At 48.4% G+C, this 18082-nt stretch overlaps 1 long non-coding RNA gene across 1 annotated transcript, besides 2 other annotated features; it reads right to left on the reverse strand.

The window, feature by feature from the left end:
- Positions 1–554: 554 nt before the first annotated feature.
- LOC105376265 (uncharacterized) lies at positions 555–17724 on the reverse strand. The gene is made up of 4 exons (XR_930331.3): positions 17647–17724; positions 1749–1950; positions 944–1041; positions 555–638 (listed from the first exon to the last, which is right to left on the reverse strand). It is a non-coding gene; the product is annotated as an uncharacterized LOC105376265 (long non-coding RNA).
- Positions 686–735: an enhancer, noted in NCBI's record as "active region_28935". NCBI's record gives its function as "activates an Ori minimal core promoter by ATAC-STARR-seq in GM12878 lymphoblastoid cells {active_cell/tissue: GM12878}" and the evidence as "EXISTENCE:reporter gene assay evidence [ECO:0000049][PMID:35858748]".
- Positions 13880–13989: an enhancer, noted in NCBI's record as "active region_28936". NCBI's record gives its function as "activates an Ori minimal core promoter by ATAC-STARR-seq in GM12878 lymphoblastoid cells {active_cell/tissue: GM12878}" and the evidence as "EXISTENCE:reporter gene assay evidence [ECO:0000049][PMID:35858748]".
- Positions 17725–18082: the final 358 nt, after the last annotated feature.

Below are 18082 nucleotides of genomic sequence, written 5' to 3' on the forward strand. Positions count from 1 at the left end.
TCTCCCACTCACCTGGCTCAGGGCAGTTCCTGGGGTGTTTACACCTGTGGCCTGCTCCTGGCTCAGGCTGAAGGACACCTGTGGTGTGAGAGTCACAGATGCTTGCAGCAGGACCCCATAGGCAGGCTCCAGATGAGTGGGAGGGGATCAGACAGGCCCCCACTCTCCCAGCCTCTGTGCCTTTGCTGTGCTATTCCATCCCTGAACTGCCCTCTTCCAGGTCTCTTCTCCACTAGCAGTGAGCTCCTACACCTCCTTCGAGGCCCAGCTAAACGTTCTCCCTCTGGGAGGCTTCGCCTGACCACCCCAGAAGAGTTAGGGCCTCTCTCCCATGGACTCCCACCAGCACCCTTCCTCTCTCTTTTTAAATTTTATTTTATCATCATTATTATTTTTTTTGAGACGGGGTCTCATTCTGTTGTCAGGCTGGAGTGCAGTGGCACGATCTTGGCTCACTGCAGCCTTGACTTCCTGGGCTCAAGCGATCCTCCCACTTCACCCTTCTTCTCTTATCACTTTGTGCAGTGGCTCCCACAACAGCCACCCGCTGTTATCACCTTGCAACTGTGGTCTTGTCTGCCTGCCTCCCGGACTGCGAACTCTGCAAGGGTGAGGTCTCTGTCTGATTCATTGTGCCCCTAGCAGCAGCAGAGAGAAGGTGTCCTGTGAGTGACTGCATGAGAACAGCTGAATGAATAAGCAACAATAATAACTAACTATGTGCCCGACTCTGAGCTAACTTCCTTACACGTGACGCTTGTTTAATCTACCCAGACACTTACAAGGTAGGTGCTACTGTCACTGTTGACCTACAGATGAGGCAGCAGAAGCACAGAGGGCAAAAGGAACTTGCCCCAGGGCCCCCGCCCCACCAAAAAAACAAGAAGCTGAGTGAGGAATGATGGAGAGGCCCCTCCCAGTCCCTTGGGAGAGCTGTACTCACCCCCTGCAAGTCGAGGATAGGAGACTATTAGCTCCGCCCATTGGCTCACGATGGCTCTTCAAAGCTGCTTTGGGCTAGGAAAGGATCTGCTGAGTCTGCTGGGAGGATGTAGAGAAAGGAAGATAAATGGGGCAGCAGAGAGGGAGGGTCCTGGAGCCTGCCCACCTGTGAGCAGTGAGTTTGAGGAGCTGGGTGGGGGGTGCTGTAGGAGCAGCCGGGGGTGAAGTGCTGGATGAGGGTTGTTGGGCCACACAGTCACTGGGAGGGCAGGCGTGACAGTAGACACTCCCAGCCACACAGCCCCTTCCAGATTTCTTTCTTCCTTTCCTTTCCTTCCTTTTCCTTTCCCTTTCCCCTTCCCCTTCCCTTCTTTTCCTTTCCTTTCTTTTTTGAGACGGAGTTCCACTCTGTCGCCCAGGCTGGAGTGCAATGGTGTGATCTCGGCTCACTGCAACCGAGAAAAGGAGATAACTATCCTTTTCTTATAAGGTGTGATAAGGATAGAATGAATTTTTTTTTTTTGAGGCAGAGTCTCACTCACTCTGTTGTTGTAATAAACTCTGCCTCCCAGGTTCAAATGATGCTCCTGACTCAGCCTCCTGAGTAGCTGGGATTACAGGCACCCATCACCATGCCTGGCTAATTTTTGTATTTTTAGTAGAGACAGGGTTTCACCACATTGGCCAGGCTGGTCTTGAACTCCTGACCTCAGGTGATCCACCTGCCTCGGCCTCCCAAAATGTTGGGATTACAGGCGTGAGCCACTGCACCTGGCTGCCTTCCAGATTTCTAAGCAGTTTCTTACCCATAATCCCATGTGCTCCTCACTTCACCCCAGCCTGGGTGGCATGGGAAGGTGTGGGTTAGATGAGTCTGCACAAGATCACGAGCCAGAGCTGGGACTTCAAATTAGGTCACTTGGTCTGACCCCAAGTGCAGTATTCTTTCCACTGCCTCGTAGCTCTCAGTCCAGCCAGGATGGACCTTGTGGGTCAGATCTTGCTTTCCTGGAGGGACATTTGGGATCATGGGGAGAGAGAGCCAACATTAGTGCATACCAGACAAATTTCATTCCATCCTTGCCAGGAGCGGTGGCTCACACCTAATCCCAGCACTTTGGGAGGCCAACGTGGGTGGATCACTAGAGGCCAGGAGTTGAAGACCAATCTGGCCAAAATAGTGAAACCCTGTCTCTACTACAAATACAAAAACTAGCTGGGCATGGTGGTGCACGCCTGCAATCCCAGCTACTTGGGTGGCTGAGGCAGGAGAATCTCTTGAACCTGGGAGGTGGAGGTTGCAGTGAGCTAAGATGATGCCACTGCACTCCAGCCTGGGCAACAGAGTGAGTGAGACTCTGTCTCAAAAAAAAAAAAAATTAATTCCATCCTTATCACACCTTATGAGAAAAGGATCATTATCTCCTTTTCACAGTTGGAGAACCTGAGGCCCAGAGAGGTTCAGCAACTCAGCCAAAGACACAGCAAGCGATTAGAGGGCTAGGATGGGGACCCAGTTTGAACAGGCCCCAGAGCATAGGGTCTAACAGGCAGATGGGAGAAGAGGGCATTGGAAGGATTCATAAATTAGGATTTTTCCAGCTGGGTTTGGCAACTGCACAGTTTACCTACAATCTACTCACCTTGATGGAGTTTATACCTAGAGATCCCTCACCCTGCAGAACAGGAGACAGACTCCCTGAGAGACCTGCAACTCACAGTTCACCCAAGAGCAGGCATGAGACACCCAGCCAAGGTCACAAGTAAGAGGCGGGTACTCATTTCTTCTGTGGCCACAGGCAACTGAGTGGACTAGCCACAAACACAGTGGTCACTAAGGGTTACACCTCAGGAGCTAGGGGTCCTCTGTCTGCTTCCTCTGAGGCCCAGGGATGGACAGAGGTGCACGGCAGTGCCTCAGAGGGTGAGCAAGGATTTTGTTAGCCTCTATCTAGATCCCGACTGTTTTATGAAATTTGATTTGGCCTCTGGGGAAAAACTAGCTGTGATCCAACAAGGGCAAAAGCACAGATGCCGGGGGGGAAAAAGCTTGTCTCTTAAAATGCAAAAGCTTGAAGGTGCTTTCTGAAGATTGCAGTGAGATAATTCAATGGTAAAAGAGACATCCGTTCAGAACGGATAAAAATTTTGCAAGAATCACAGGGCAGGTTTAGGAAAGATGTTTTTGTAAGTAATATGAGACTAAGCTTGCAGGGACTGTTGAAGTTAGCTTTTAAGGAGAGGTGGAATTTTGCTTATTACATTAGGAAGATTTGGAATGAATAGAGAATCCTCCATGCAGTTAGGGTGGAAGGCACATAGGAAATACCAAAAGTATTGAAAAATTAAAAACCAAAAGCTACAATTGTTTTTGTCTTTGCAGAGTTGTCCAAACACATTCATTTCCCTGGTATCATGTGATCTGCATGACCTTATTATGGCAAAAGAATAGTAAACATTGCACCCTTAAAAAAAAAAAGCAGCTTCAATGAGATGTAATTCACAGACCATACAGTTCAACCATTTAAAGTGTGTAATTTGCCGGGCGCAGTGGCTCCCACCTGTAATCCCAGTACTTTGGGAGGCCAAGGCAGGAGGATCACTTGAGGTTAGGAGTTTGAGACCAGCCTGGCCAACATGGTGAAACCCCGTCTCTACTAAAAATACAAAAATTAGTCGGGCGTGGCAGTGGGTGCCTGTAATCCCAGCTACTCTGGAGGCTGAGGCAGGAGAATGGCTTGAGTCCAAGAGGCGGAAATTGCAGTGAGTCGAGATTGGGCCACTGCACACTAGTTTGGGCAACAGAGCAAGACTCTATCTCAAAACAGAAACAAAAACAAAAACAGGGTGTAATTCATTGAATTTTAGTATCGTAGTCCCCCTTATCTGTAGAGAATATGTTCCAAGACCCTCAGTGGATGACTGAAACTATAGATACCAGTAGACTTGCTTGTTCTGTTTTTTCCTCTTTGTACATACCTAGAAAAAGTTTAATTTATAAATGAGGAATGGCAAGAGGTTAACAACAGTAACTAATAATAAAATAGAACAATTTTAACAATAAGCCAGCATCACTACTCTTGCATTCTGCGGGCATTATTAAGTAAAATAAGGGGTTACTTAAACACAAGCACTACAGTATCAATACTGGCACTGATAACCAAGGCGGCTATTAAGTGACTTACAGGTGGGTGTTCATACAGCATGGAGATGCTGGACAAAGGAATGATTTGCATGCCAAGTGGGATGGGCCGAGACGACACAGGATTTCATCACACCACTCAGAACGGAATACAATGTAAAACTTATGAATTGTTTCTTTCTGGAACTTTTTTTTTTTTCAGATGGAGTCTCTCTCTGTCACCCAGGCTGGAGGGCAGTGGCGCGATCTTGGCTCACTGCAACCTCCACCTCCTGGGTTCAAGGGATTCTCCTGCCTCAGTCTCCCGAATAGCTGGGACTACAGGCGCCCGCCACCATGCCTGGCTAATTTTTGTATTATTAGTAGAGATGGGCTTTCACCATGTTGGCCAGGCTGGTCTCGAACTCCTCACCTCAGGTGATCTGCCCACCTCAGCCTCCCAAAGTGCTGGGATTACAGGTGTGAGCCACCACGCCTGGCCTGGAATTTTCTATTTAATATTTTTGGGCCACAGTTGACTATGGGTAACTGAAACCACAGAAAATAAAGCCACTTGCCCTGTTTTGTGTTTGCTTACACTCTTATTGCTCCCTGAGGTTTTTTTTTTTTTTTTTTTGAGGCAGGATCTCCCTCTTTCACCCAGGCTGGAGTGCAGTGGCGCAGTCATGACTTACTGCAGCGTCAACCTCCCAGGGTCAAGTGTTCCTCCTACCTCAGCCTCCTGAGTAGCTGGGACTACAGGCGTGCACCATCACACTCAGCTAATATTTAAATGCTTTAAATAGAGACAGGGTATCACTTTGTTGCCCAGGCTGGTCTCAAACTCCTGGGCTCAAGTGATCCTCCCACCTCAGCCTCCCAAAGTGCTGAGATTACAGACGTGAGCCCCACGCCCAGCCTCCCTGAACATATTTTATGAGTGTATTGTTTACTTGCCAGACTGTATTCACATAGTTGTTCTAATTTCGGAACATTTTTAAAAAATGAACTCTGTATCCATTAGCAGTCATTCCCAATTTCCTTTTTTTCCCAGCCACTGGCAAGCACTAATCTTCTTTCTGTCTCTCTGGATTTACCTATTCTAGACATTTTACATAAATGGAATCTTACAACATGTGGTATTATGGGTTGAATCGTGTCTCCCCCACCCCTACCAAATTCATAAATTGAAGTCTTAACACCAGTATCTCGGAATGTGGCCTTATTTGAAAACAGGGTCATTGCAGATGCAATTAGTTTAAGAAAGGGTCATTAGAATGGGCCTTAATCCAGTATGTCTGGTGTCCTTATAAAAAGGGGAAATTTAGATATGAAGATACACACAGGGAGAACATCACGTGAAGATGAAAGCAGAGATTGAGGTGATGTTTCTCTACACCAAGGAACACCAAAGATTGCCAGCAAACACCAGAAACTAGGCATGAGTCACAGAACATGTCTCCTTCACAGTCCTCAGGGGGAAGCAACTCTGGATACCTTGATCTTAGACTTCCAGCCTCCAGGACTGTGACACAATAAATTTCTGTTGCTTAAGCCAGCCAGTTTGTGCTACTTTGTTATGGCAGCCCTGGGAAACTAACACATAATGGTCTTTTGTGTCTGGCTTTTTTCACTTAGCATAATGTTTTTTTTTTCTTTACTTTTCTTTTCTTTCTTTTTTTTTTTTTTTTTTTTGAGATGGAGTCTTGCTCCATGGCCCAGACTGGAGTGCAGTGGCGCGATCTCTGCTTACTGCAACCTCCACCTCCTGGGTTCAAGCGATTCTCCTGCCTCAGCCTCCTGAGTAGCTGGGACTACAGGCGTGCACCAGCATGCCTGGCAAATCCTTGTATTTTTAGTAGAGATGGGGTTTTGCCATGTTGGCCAGGCTGGTCTCGAACTCATGACCTCAGGCGATCCACCCACCTCAGCCTCCCAAAGCACTGGGATTACAGGCGCGAACACCGTGCCCAGCTAGCATAATATTTACAAGGCTTTTTTCACTTAGCATAATGTTGTAGCCTATATTAGTACTTCATCCCTTTTTATGAATTAATAACATTCCACAGTATGGATGCAACACCTTTTATTTATCCATTCATCAGTCAATGAACATTTAATTGGTTTCCAGCTTTGGTTTATAATTTTAAAAGCCGGTTGCGCATGGTGGCTCATGCCTGTAATCCCAACACTTTGGGAGGCCGAGGCAGGAGGATCACTTAAGCCCAGGAGTTCAAGGCTACAGTGAGCTATTATTACATCACTGCACTCCAGCCTGGGTGACAGAGAGAGACCCCACTCCTAAAAAAAAAAAAAAAAACTGCCATGAATATTCATGTACAAGTTTTATTAAATTATTATTAGAGACAGGGTCTTGCTATGTTGCCCAGGCTGGTCTCAAACTCCTGTGCTCAAGTGATCCCCCTGCCTCAGCCTCAGTCCCCTGAAGTGCTGGGATTATAGGTGAGAGCCACTGCACTTGGCCCATGTACAAGTTTTTGCTGTATGTACACATATGTTTACATGTCTCTTGGATATATACCTATATTTTTGCTTTATGGGTGTGGAAACTGAGGCCCCAAGAGGTCACTTACTCAAAGTTACCAGCTAGAACTCAAACGGACTGTCCCTTTAACCTAAATGTGTTTGATTTCCAACTCAGAGCTCTTTCAACTATATCACACACACACACACACACACACACACACGCACTCACATGCATGTAAATTCATTCACACATACACACACCAGCACCAGTCAACAAACGCTCCTTTGAGCCCTTTGCTTTGTCCAGAGTGCAAAAGTTCAAGAGAGGCAAACAGAAGTGGCACGATGCTGAGAGAGATAAATGAGGCTTCCAAAGAATAAATAAGTCAGAACATTGATTTGAATATTACCAAGGGATAGACCAGAAACATTTAACGGATTATAAAGAGGTTAGTGAAGAGCGAATGGCCCAAATTTGGCCTTAGGAGCATGCACACCACTCATATTGATTGTGATGAGATTTCTGGAAGTGAACGCACTTTACCAGAAAAATAGTATGCAAGTCAAAGATGTTGCTGTGGAGAGAGCCGCACTGGAAATCAGGACATGGCCCTGCTCATGGAAGGCTGTGACCACCCAGTTATTTACTCCCGGAGAGCGGGGGCAGCTTACATCAGGAAAGTTGCTTACTCTCAGGGTTAGTACAGGAAGATTTGATTTCACTGTTTCTGTGAGTGAGCCGGATCAGAAGCTATTCTGAGCGTCCTCAAAGGAAATGTGCCAGAAATCATAAATAAAGAAGTCAAGCGCATCCAGTGGCCATATCAAATGTGACATTCCTGAAGAATATGGGAACATGCTATCTTTCAAGCTGCTGATTCTTAAAAAAGGAAAAAGTAGAAAATACCTTAGTCCCAGGGAACAAGAGAAGCCTCTAGAGTTAAAACCTAAACCGAGACAACATAATTCAGGATGTAAAGAGAAAAGCAGTGTTTATCAAAGTGCGAGACTCAGCCATTCGTTGAACATATCTTTATTTTTGACAGTCTCTGCACCAGTCACTCTGTCCCCACTGTTCTCTAGCCCCCGGCTCTGCTTTATTTTTTCTTTCTTACAGTAGTATTTTGTACAGGTTTATTGTTCCCTGGACACATTGTATAAGTGTATTGTTGACTTGCTTATTGTTTATCTCCCAGGCAGGAACTAAAAGTTCTAGGACAGAAACCTGTTTCTTCTTACTCACCTCACTTCCAGATGTTGGTTCCAATTTCCTAATTCACCCCCCTGGCTCCTTTGACCTCTTTCCAATCCATTTTCCTGAAACCAGGCTTGTCATTTCCCTGCTAAAAGTCTTCAGGGTGTCCCCTGGCCTGTGGGACCTTGAGGTTGCATGCTGAAAGGGGCCTGGGCTCCCCATTCTTGGCTACCTGACATCAGGAGGTTCCAGATGAAAACACTTTTTGACCCCCATCTCTGGCTTAGGGCATTTGACATTTTTCCAGGAGCTCTCACCTCTCAGGGCTACTCTCCCCTGATTTCAGCATACTCCCTTGGGTGAGAAGGAAGGAAGGAAGGAAGGAAGGAAGGAAGGAAGGAAGGAAGGGAGGGAGGGAGGGAGGGAGGGAGGGAGGGGAGAGGGAGGGAGGATTTTTTCACCATGCTTTGATTTAATTTGCTCAGCTACTAATCAAGGTGTTGCTCATCTCTCCTGGGACATATCCCTGAACTGTCCAGGCTGAAGGCAGATGACGCCTCGACTGATGCCATTGCATTGCAGAAGGGTCCTTCCTGCAGTCAGCCCCTGACAGTGCCCCCTCTGGGGAAGAGTGGGTCCAGGGACAGACGAGAGGAAGCACCTTGCTGAGTTGTGCTGACACTGGCCAGGAGTGGCCTCGCTCTGCTGAGTCATTGTATGGGGTATGTGTGGCTGCATTAAGGAATAGAGACCACTCTGGTGGCTGCTGTTGAGGATGGCCAAGATCATCAGAGGACAGGAAGCTAAGCCACCTGGCTACTCTCTCTGGAGCTCAGAATGGTGTTCAGGACCAGGAACATCCTTCAGGGGCCAGTGCCGTTCTAGTGTCCTCCAGGCTTTGGGGTGCCACCTGCCAGAGGCATTCTCTGCTCTAAGGCCCCTCCATCAGCTCCTCCACCTCCATGGCCCAGATGGGGCCATGGGTCCTTCCCCTGTCCACTAATGTCTCTCTCCTACCTTCATCCCACCTCCTGACTTCTGCTTCTACTTCTCATTTATTCTTAGCTTCCTCTTGCTACCTTCTGTATGTGTCATTTGGCTTCTGCCTTTGGGAAACCAGAGTCCTGCCTCTCTCCAGAGGCTCACTCTCAAACTCTGCCACAGAGGCTGTGTGGGCTCAGCTGGTCACCCGTACACCTGCAGTGCTGCCCCAGAAGTCACTACCCTGTTCGTGGGGTGGCTGCCTTTGCAACAAGCCCCTACCTTAATCCAGTGTGCAAGGGGTGGGTACATGGGTAGCTTTTTTCTAGAAGGGGCTTTGGGCATGGCAATTCCTTTTTTTTTTTGAGACGGAGTTTTGCTCTTGTTGCCCAGGCTGGAGTGCAATGGCATGATCTCGTCTCACTGCAACCTCTGCCTCCCGGGTTCAAGCAATTCTCCTGCCTCAGCCTCCCGAGTAGCTGGAATTACAGGCAGGTGTCACCATGCCCGGCTAATTTTGTATTTTTAGTAAAGACAGGGTTTCTCCATGTTCGTCAGGCTGGTCTCGAACTCCCAACCTCAGGTGATCCGCCCGCCTCAGCCTCCCAAAGTGCTGGGATTACAGACCTGAGCCACCGCACCTGGCCCCCATGGCAACTCTTAGAACATAATACGTCTTTCTCACAGCCAGCTGCTGCGGCTCATGCCTGCAATCCCAGTACTTCAGGAGGCCAAGGTGGGAGGATAGCTTGAGCCCAGAAGTTCGAGCCCAGCCTGGGCAACATAGGGAGACCCCCATCTCCACAAAAAATACAAAATTAGCTAGGTGTGGTGGTGTGTGTCTGTGGTCCCAGCTACTTGGGAGGCTTAGGCAGGAAGATCACTTGAGCCTGAGAGGTTGAGGCTGCAGTGAACTGTGATCGCACCACTGCATTCCAGCCTGGGTGACAGAGCGAGACTCTGTCTCTAAACAAAATTTAAAAATTAAAAAAAATACATCTTTTCCCAATATAGATGGCAAAGGAGCAAATGAGATTGTGGAGGTGGATATGCTTTGGAAGGTATAACATGCTGTATTGGTACAAAATAATATTAATTGTTGATAATTATTGATAATTAACGTAGCCATTATTGTGGCTACTAATGAAAGTTTTGCTTCCCTGGAACTTGTGGACCAAGGGCAGTGGTTACCAATGGCCATGGTCTTTGATTCCCAAACTCTTGCCAGGAAAGTTGCTGGGACACCAGCCTCCCTCTGCCACCCTGCATTAAAGCTGCTTCATCTAGAATCCTCTGAACCTGCCTCCCCATCTCACTGTTGCTCCTCTGGTGGCTCAGGGCTCCCCCCATCCCAAAGTACACAGATCTTCAGGCCCCAAAGATTCCCAGGTGCTTTCATTTCAGAGCTACTTCCACCAAGGACCCACAACCTTCCAAAGGGCTGGGACCAGCTTGCTCTTCTTCTCAGCCCTGCCCAGGGGATGGGCAAGAGGGTCATGGCTGCCCACAACCCCTAGTCCACATACTCCAGCCCCATGGAGAGAAGGACTCTTCCTCTATCGAAGTCTTAAATTCCAAATACATGACAATGGCTGATTGAGCTTGAGTCAGAGGTCCACACTGGGTAATCAGCTACAACCAAGGGCCATGTTGTACAAACATAGCTGCCAGGAGCCCACCTCTGAGACAGGGAGTGGGCAATGGTTGAGGGAGTCATTCAGGGCCAAGCAGATACCCCTGATGAGGTCCTTTACACCAAGGAAGCTGGCGTACATCAGAGGGCTTGGAGCCTGTCGCAGTAACACGCTGCCACTAGATCTCTCCTAGCGCCTTGGGTTTTCTCTACTGTGGAGCTCTACTGTGTAGGAGACAGTATTCCGTGTAATGGAATTCCCCACAAAAAAATTCATGTAATGTGGCATTTACAACTCAAATGATGCCACAGAAGGGTTGCATGTTATGGTCAAAGTCAAAACCGGTTTCCCTCTGGCAATGTGGTGTGATTGGTGAAGATTATTTTTAATTTTTATTTTATGTATTTATTTATTTTTGAGACAGAGTCTCGCTCTGTCGCCAGGCTGGAGTGCAGTGGCACAATCTCAGCTCACTGCAACCTCCGTCTCCTGGATTGCAGTGGCACAATCTCGGCTCACCGCAACCTCCGCCTCCTGGAGTGCAGTGGCACAATCTTGGCTCACTGCGACCTCCGCCTCCTGGTTCAAGCGACTCTCCTGCCTCAGCCTCCCGAGTAGCTGGGTCTACAGGCGTGCACCACCACACCTGGCTATTTTTTGTATTTTTAGTAGAGATGGGGTTTCACCATATTGGTCTCGATCTGTTGACCTCGTCGTGATCCACCTGCCTCGGCCTCCCAAAGTGCTGGGATTACAGGCGTGAACCACCGCGCCCGGCCGATTGACGATGATATTAAAGAAAGCCTAAGCAAAACCAGCTCCCAGGACCTGTTGCCACCGGAGCCACTCCCCTGGTTCCAGGTGCTGGGCCTGTGCTTAGTCAGGGCTTGGTTAGTCATAAAACAGAAATTCACTGAACTCCTGGGAGTGATCACCTGTTGCTTTTGCCTATTTGGATTCTTTTCCCATTATTCTGAAAACGGGCCCTGTGATTTCTTTTTTTAAAGGATTCTTCACCCTATCTTAGTCTGTTTGGCTTAGGTGGGCCTGACCCCAATCCTCAGATACAGAGGTAAGTACATGGATTGCAATAGGTCAAGGGGGTCGTGTGACCCAGTCTGGGCCAAAGACAGTCAGCCCTGTGACCTTTTCCAGATGAGCCAATGGGTCAGCAGAAACCCTGGTCTGCAGAGTAAAAGGACCAGATATGCAGAGAAAAGCAGAAATGGGATATTGTGTGGAGGAAGAACGAGAGAGAGAGAGAGAGAGAGAGAGAGAAATGGAGGCAGAAGCAACCTTCTCATTCCTGTGATTTCTGGTTATTCTTTCTATAGCAGGAGTCCATGTGACTTTCCCCTTTGCTTTCTAATGACCTCCATTTTTAGTTGAAATTCTCTATTAGTCAAGATTCATTCAATTTTTACACTACAGGAACTCAGATTAAATTAGTTTAAACAAGAAAACGGGAATGTATTGGTTCATATAATTGGAAAACTCAAGGTATGAATTCAGGTATGGCTGGATCTAGGGCTTCAAATGATATCACCAAGATACTGTCTTTTAGCTGAATGCGGTGGTGACTCATGACTGTAGTTCCAGGTACTTGGGAGGCTGAGGCAGGAGGGTCACTTGAGCCCAGGAGTTCGAGGCTGCAAAGAGCTATGATCTTGCCACTGCACTCCAGTGTGAGTGACAGAATGAGACCCCATCTCAAAAAAAACAAAACAAAACAAAACAAAAGGCACTTCTTTTTCTTTTTCTTTGCGTTGGCTTCATTATTTGTTAGGTTTTTCCCATGAGGTAGAAAAGATGGCCCCCAGTAACTCCAGGCTTACATAAAAACCCCTGAAAGACAACACCTCTTTCCTAATAGTTTGGCAAAGTCCAGGCCGACTCCCCTGCTGTTGGTCATGGCTGTTTGCTTTCAACGCTGTGGGGATGGGGGTTGGAAGGTGCAGAGAAAGAGGAAGGAAGGGCATGACATGTTTTTAGTGTCCACGAATGTGAAGTCCCTCTCAAGCCCATTTACATGTGACAGTGACAGAGCCCATTTACAACCTCAACAAGGAGGGCCAGTCTTGTGCATTGAAACCTCCTGTTTCTGAGCTCTTCATGGGCTTGTATTTTAAAATAATATATATATTTATATATTATAAAATTATATTAAATATGTTTTATATAGATAACATATTAATATAATATAATATAGATAATATATAACATATTTAATATAATTTTATCATATTAATAATTATTAATATATAATTATATATTATAATTATATAAATATTATATAAACTATAAAATATAAACATTATATATAATATAATTATAATATAAATATTATATATAATATATTATAATATAAATATAATATACATATCATATATTATATATAATTATATATTACATATATAATTTGAGAGAGACAGAGAGAGGCAGGTCTCGCAATGTTGCCTAGGCTGGTCTTGAACTTCTGGCCTTAAATGATCCTCTTGCCTTGGCCTCGCAAAGTGCTGGGATTACAAGTGTGAGCCACCACACCCTGCCTCTTCATGGGTTCGAATAGGCAAAGACGGGCAGGATTTGGGAAAGGGTATGGGAAGAATTTGAAGGGGTGAACAACAGCAGCAACAGCTAACATGGTGGAGCTGGCGCTGTGCTAAGTGTTTCCCATAACTGTTTGATGAAATCCTCACCACCAACCTACTATCTTCAACTTTTATTATCCTCACTTGCAGATGTGATTAAGGTTCAGAGAGGTTAGGTAACTCTGCTATGATCACACAGCTGATAAAATGCAGAGCCAGGCCGGGCGCGATGGCTCGTGCCTGTAATCTCAACACTTTGGGAGGCTGAGATGGGCGGATCACGAGGTCAGGAGTTCAAGACCAGCCTGGCCAACATAGTGAAACCCCGTCTCTACTAAAAATACAAAAAATTAGCCGGGCGTGGTGGCGGGTGACTGTAATGCCAGCTACTCAGGAGGCTGAGGCAGGAGAATCACTTGAACCTAGGAGGAGCGGGGGTTGCAGTGAGCGGAGATTGCGTCACCGCACTCCAGCCTGGGCGACAGTGAGACTCTGTCTCAAAAAAAAAAAGCAGAGCCAGGTTCACAGTCGGGCCATGTGGGAGCAGAACGCTTGCATTTAACCACGGCACTGTCTTGCCTCTCAAGGGAGAGAGATGCACAAAGGATGAAGGAAAAAGCCTGAGGAGGCTGGGAGTTGTGGTGCCATGGGAGGTAAAGGTGCCAGGGAAAACTTCCTGAAGGGGGAGTTAACAAAAGAACTTTTATTTATTTTTTATTTTTATTCTTTCTGAGATGGAGTCTCGCTCTGTTGCCCAGGCTGGAGTGCAGTGGCTTGATCTCAGATCACTGCAACCTCCTGCCTCCACCTCCTGAGTAGCTGGGATTACAGGCACCTGCCACCACACCCAGCTAATTTTTGTATTTTTAGTGGAGATGGGGTTTCGCCATGTTGGCCTGGCTGGTCTCGAACTCCTGACCTCAGGTGATCTGCCCACCTTGGCCTCCCAAAGTGTTGGGATTATAGGCGTGAGCCACCGCGCCCGGCCACAAAAGAACTTTTAAGAACAGGATTGTCCAGTGTTCGTTGGAAGGTATATGAATTGCAGCGCTTCTTAAAACCATCCTTCTGACCTCCCTAAATCTCCCTCTGCCTGCTTTGTACACAAATACCTTCTGAGATGGGTTTCTGGTGAAACAGAGGAAGGTGCTGGCTGAGTTCCACGTCTCAGTCAGAGCTGTGTCAAAATGAAACAGCAGGCCTGGGTCAGCGGCCCAAGCCAGACACTAAACGAATTTAGCAGAAGCTGCAGCTCTGATGCAGAGGGGAGTATGAAAAGGCAAGCCATTCCAGAACTCTCCGAAATATTGGGGACAGTGTTACACTTCCATAGGGTGTGAAATATGCATTTGAACTGATATTTTTGAAATAGTCAAGAGGAAGGGAGGCCCCAGCTGACAAATGGATTACACAAAGGTGGTAAACTGATGCCCCAAACCCTGGGAACATCAGCTACCTCTCTACGCCCCCATGCCTCCCCTTGGGCTGGAGTTGGAGGATGAAGACTCTGGGGTATGTTTGGCATGGGGTGGGCTGATGATATATGCAAGAAAAAGGCCAGAGAGCGGCTTGGAGTCCTTGGGTCTCAGTTTCTGGAGGCAAAAACCTTCTTTTTGGTACTGGGGCATAAGGACAGTCAAATGAACTTCTAAGGGGAGGGTCCTTGATGCTGGCTCCCAGATCCTGGGCTGACTTTGCTGCCATTAATGGAAGGGTCCCAGGGCTTGGCGTGGAGCTGACTCTGAAGGCAGGCCTCAATTGGCTCCTGTTCTAAGGAGAAGGGAAGAGAGGGGCAGGGAGCCAGGCAGAACTTGGCAAGGGACAGGGAGGAGGGAATGAGACCAGGCTGGTAAACTCTGATGAGGAGAAAGTCTGGAGCACTGGGCCTGGAATGGGAGGGCAGCCTGGGCCTGGAGGGGCTGCCTCAGAAGCAGCCGAAGCAGCAGCCAGAGCCGGCGAGAGGGAGATGGCAGGAAGCAGGGAGGTAAACTTGTCCCGCTGCCCACCTGGGCAGACTCAAAAGCCATTAGGTTTCCCAGAGCAGCAGGCTTGGTGAGAGATGCATCTTGTCTGCTGCCAGAGGGGAGGTCTGGCCAGGAAGACAGCCAGGAGTCAGATCTCCCAGCTGCAGAGCTCTTAGGTGAGTTCCTAGCTTTGCTCCCTTCCCTCGGTGTCGGCTTCTCCCAGGCTCCGTTTGTTCTTCTTGCTGCCGCTTCTCTCCCTCTATGCTCTCCCTCCGAGGTTTGCAGTGTCACCTGCATCCTGACAACTACCAGAGTTCCAGCTTCTTCCCTGAGTTCTCTCCTGGGAGCCCCTGATCTGGCATCCTTCACCCCATGCTGTGCCACAGACCCTCACATTCAGGGGGTCCCAAATTGAATTCTTCTGCCTCCCTGGGGATAGGGAGCAAAAGGTGACAAGTGCTCTTTTCTTCGTCCCCCAACCCTCACCCGCAAAGGGGAGAGCTATGCGCCAGACCTCAAGCCCCCTGGCGGAGCCAGCTTCCCAGGAATCCGACCCCACCCTTGGCCTCGCGCCTCTCTGCCTCATGCTGGTGCTCTTCTTCCTTTCCATCCAATCTGGGCTCTCCCTCTCGGCTGCCTTCGCACCGTGCTGTGGAAGCCATGGCCCCCGCTCCCCGGGAAAACGCAAGGTGAGGGGATCCTGAGATTTGGTTTGGCCTTGGAGGGAGAGGCCATCCTGAGCTTTAAGTCAACCTAGGAAGGGCATGGGACAGAGGACAGAAACCCAACTGACAGCACAGGGACCTGTTTCCTTCAATTCTCTGTTCCCTGCAGAGATGGCTCCTTGGGGACTGCGCAGAGAAGAGTGAAGGGAAAGATGGTGTCAGAACTTCCTGGGTCCCTCTGTCTAAAACCTCTCAATAAAACCTCATTCCACCCTTATCTCCAACAATCTTTCCCCCTTCAAATCCACTCTTGCTTTTGTATTTACTTTGTAAACAGCTGAGGACCTTCAGCTCTTAGGTTTCCAATTATGACACAATTTTATTTTTCTAGTAACTGCCACCAACAGGACTCCATGAAGCCCTCTGCCTGGCTGGGAGTTATGTGTCTTTGACCACACCTGGGTTCCATTTCTTTCAGATGGTTTTGGCTATAAGAACAGTCTTATTCTAGTTAAGACCTGGTAATTTTAAAACTTCAGGCTCAGGCCGGGCATGGTGGCTCACACCTGCAATCTCAGCACTTTGGGAGGCCGAGGCGGGCAAATCACCTGAGGTCAGGAGTTTGAGACCAGCTTGGTCAACATGGTGAAACCCCGTCTCTACTAAAAATACAAAAATTAGCTGGGCGTGGTGGCGGGCTCCTGTAATCCCAGCTACTCGGGAGGCTGAGGCAGGAGAATCGCAGACCCAGGAGGCAGAGGTTGCAATGAGCCGAGATCATGCCATTGCACTCCAGCCTGGGCAACAAGAGCGAAACTCTGCCTCAAAAACAAATAAACAAAACAAAACAAACAACAACGAAAAACCTTCAGGCTCAGATCTGTTTCAAAATTTAGTTCTTCCTCTGCAAGGCAAGCTGGGCTGGGAGCTCTAAGGGCTTGAAGTGTGAGTGTGTGTGTGTTTTGGGGAGTTCAGAGGTCACACGCACACACACTCACACCCCTTCTCTGGGCTCACCCCTAGGGTTGGGGCTTGAGGAGAAGAAAGAAGGACACAGCTGTCTCTGGACTGACCCTTGGCTAGAAGATTGTGTGGTGCCCCTCCTGTAACCCATGGCTGTGGTGGGCTGAGCTCAAAGCCTGACACCTGGCGGTTGTAGGTGAAGGCCCCTATAGGCCCCACTGATCAGGGACTCAATTCCAGGCCCCTTCCTCAGGCACTGGTGGTTTCTCCCCAGAGAAGTGACACCTTCCAGTTAATCTTTGGCCGGCCCCTGTGCCACACCCCTCCCTTATGTTGAGATTCTTGGACCCGTGCTGAGAGGGTCCAAGCATGGGTTCAAGAATCTGCAGCCCCCGAGTCTTACCTTCCATAGCCTCTGCTCCCAGACCCCCGTGTCTCCCAGGAACCGGAAGCCCAGGGGCCTTTCCCTGGCACTGCTCTCCACAACCCCATCTGATGGCCCTGGGGCTGAGCAGATGTCTGGCCAGGGAATGACACGTGAGTCCCCCCGCTTCTTACAGTCACCCCCAGACTTGATCAGCAGATCAAGTCTCCCCTCCTCTGCAGAGTTCTGAGGGGTAGAGAAGACATTTTTATGTCTGAAAAGGTGTATATGTGCAAATTCTGGTGTCTCTCAAGGTAAAGCTCAACCAGACCGATTTGGCCTCTCTCCCCCTGGGGGACAGAGTCTCAGGGTGGCTCTCACTGGTGACCTCTGGAACAGAAGATTCCTATCAGGACCTCCCATGGTGCCTTTACACCAGCCTTGCCCACAGCATCTTCCCAGACACAGGGCTAGACATCCGGAAGTCAGGGCATCATCCTAACTGCCCTCTCCTCTTTCCTGCCCCACAACATCTCCTCGGTCACCAGACCTACTTCTCTGCTCCTGGTTCAGGTTCAGGTTCATGGCCTGGACGTCAGCACGGGTCTCACTAGTTTCCCTGCCCAAGTTCCTCCCCTCCACTGGCAGTGACCTTCCTAAGCCTTAATCTTAGTTTCATCACTTCCCTTCACATCTGATGGCTCCCTATTACCCAGAGAATCATATTTCAACTTCTTACTTTCAAATTCTAGGCTTCTCTTGATGTGATCTCCACCCTCATCTCCAGCCAGGTACACACAGTGTGACAGTTGGTAATGACTGGCCCCAGAGCACTGTGTTGAGGGCTGTGAGGGTTGAATCAGGGTTCAGTGGGAAGGAGAGTGCGGTGATCAATTAGTGATGCCTGCCATGGACGCAGGGGCGGCAGAACTGCAAGGTTTTTGCCACCCTGTGCTAGTCATATTAAACTGTCCACATTTTCTCACCTGGAATCCAGCTGGACTCTCCTTCTTTCCTTTCTCCATGGCTCAGGATTGGGGTATGAAGACCCATGTCTCAGGTTATTGCCACCATGAACTCACCATTCTCCCCCAAACTTGCCAAATATTTACACATGCTGTTCCCCGCTGCTGAGACTCCCTTCCATTTGTCCTCCATTGGACAAATCTCTCCTC

Source organism: Homo sapiens, chromosome 9 (genome assembly GCF_000001405.40).
Source record: "Homo sapiens chromosome 9, GRCh38.p14 Primary Assembly".
Taxonomy (NCBI): Eukaryota; Metazoa; Chordata; class Mammalia; order Primates; family Hominidae; genus Homo; species Homo sapiens.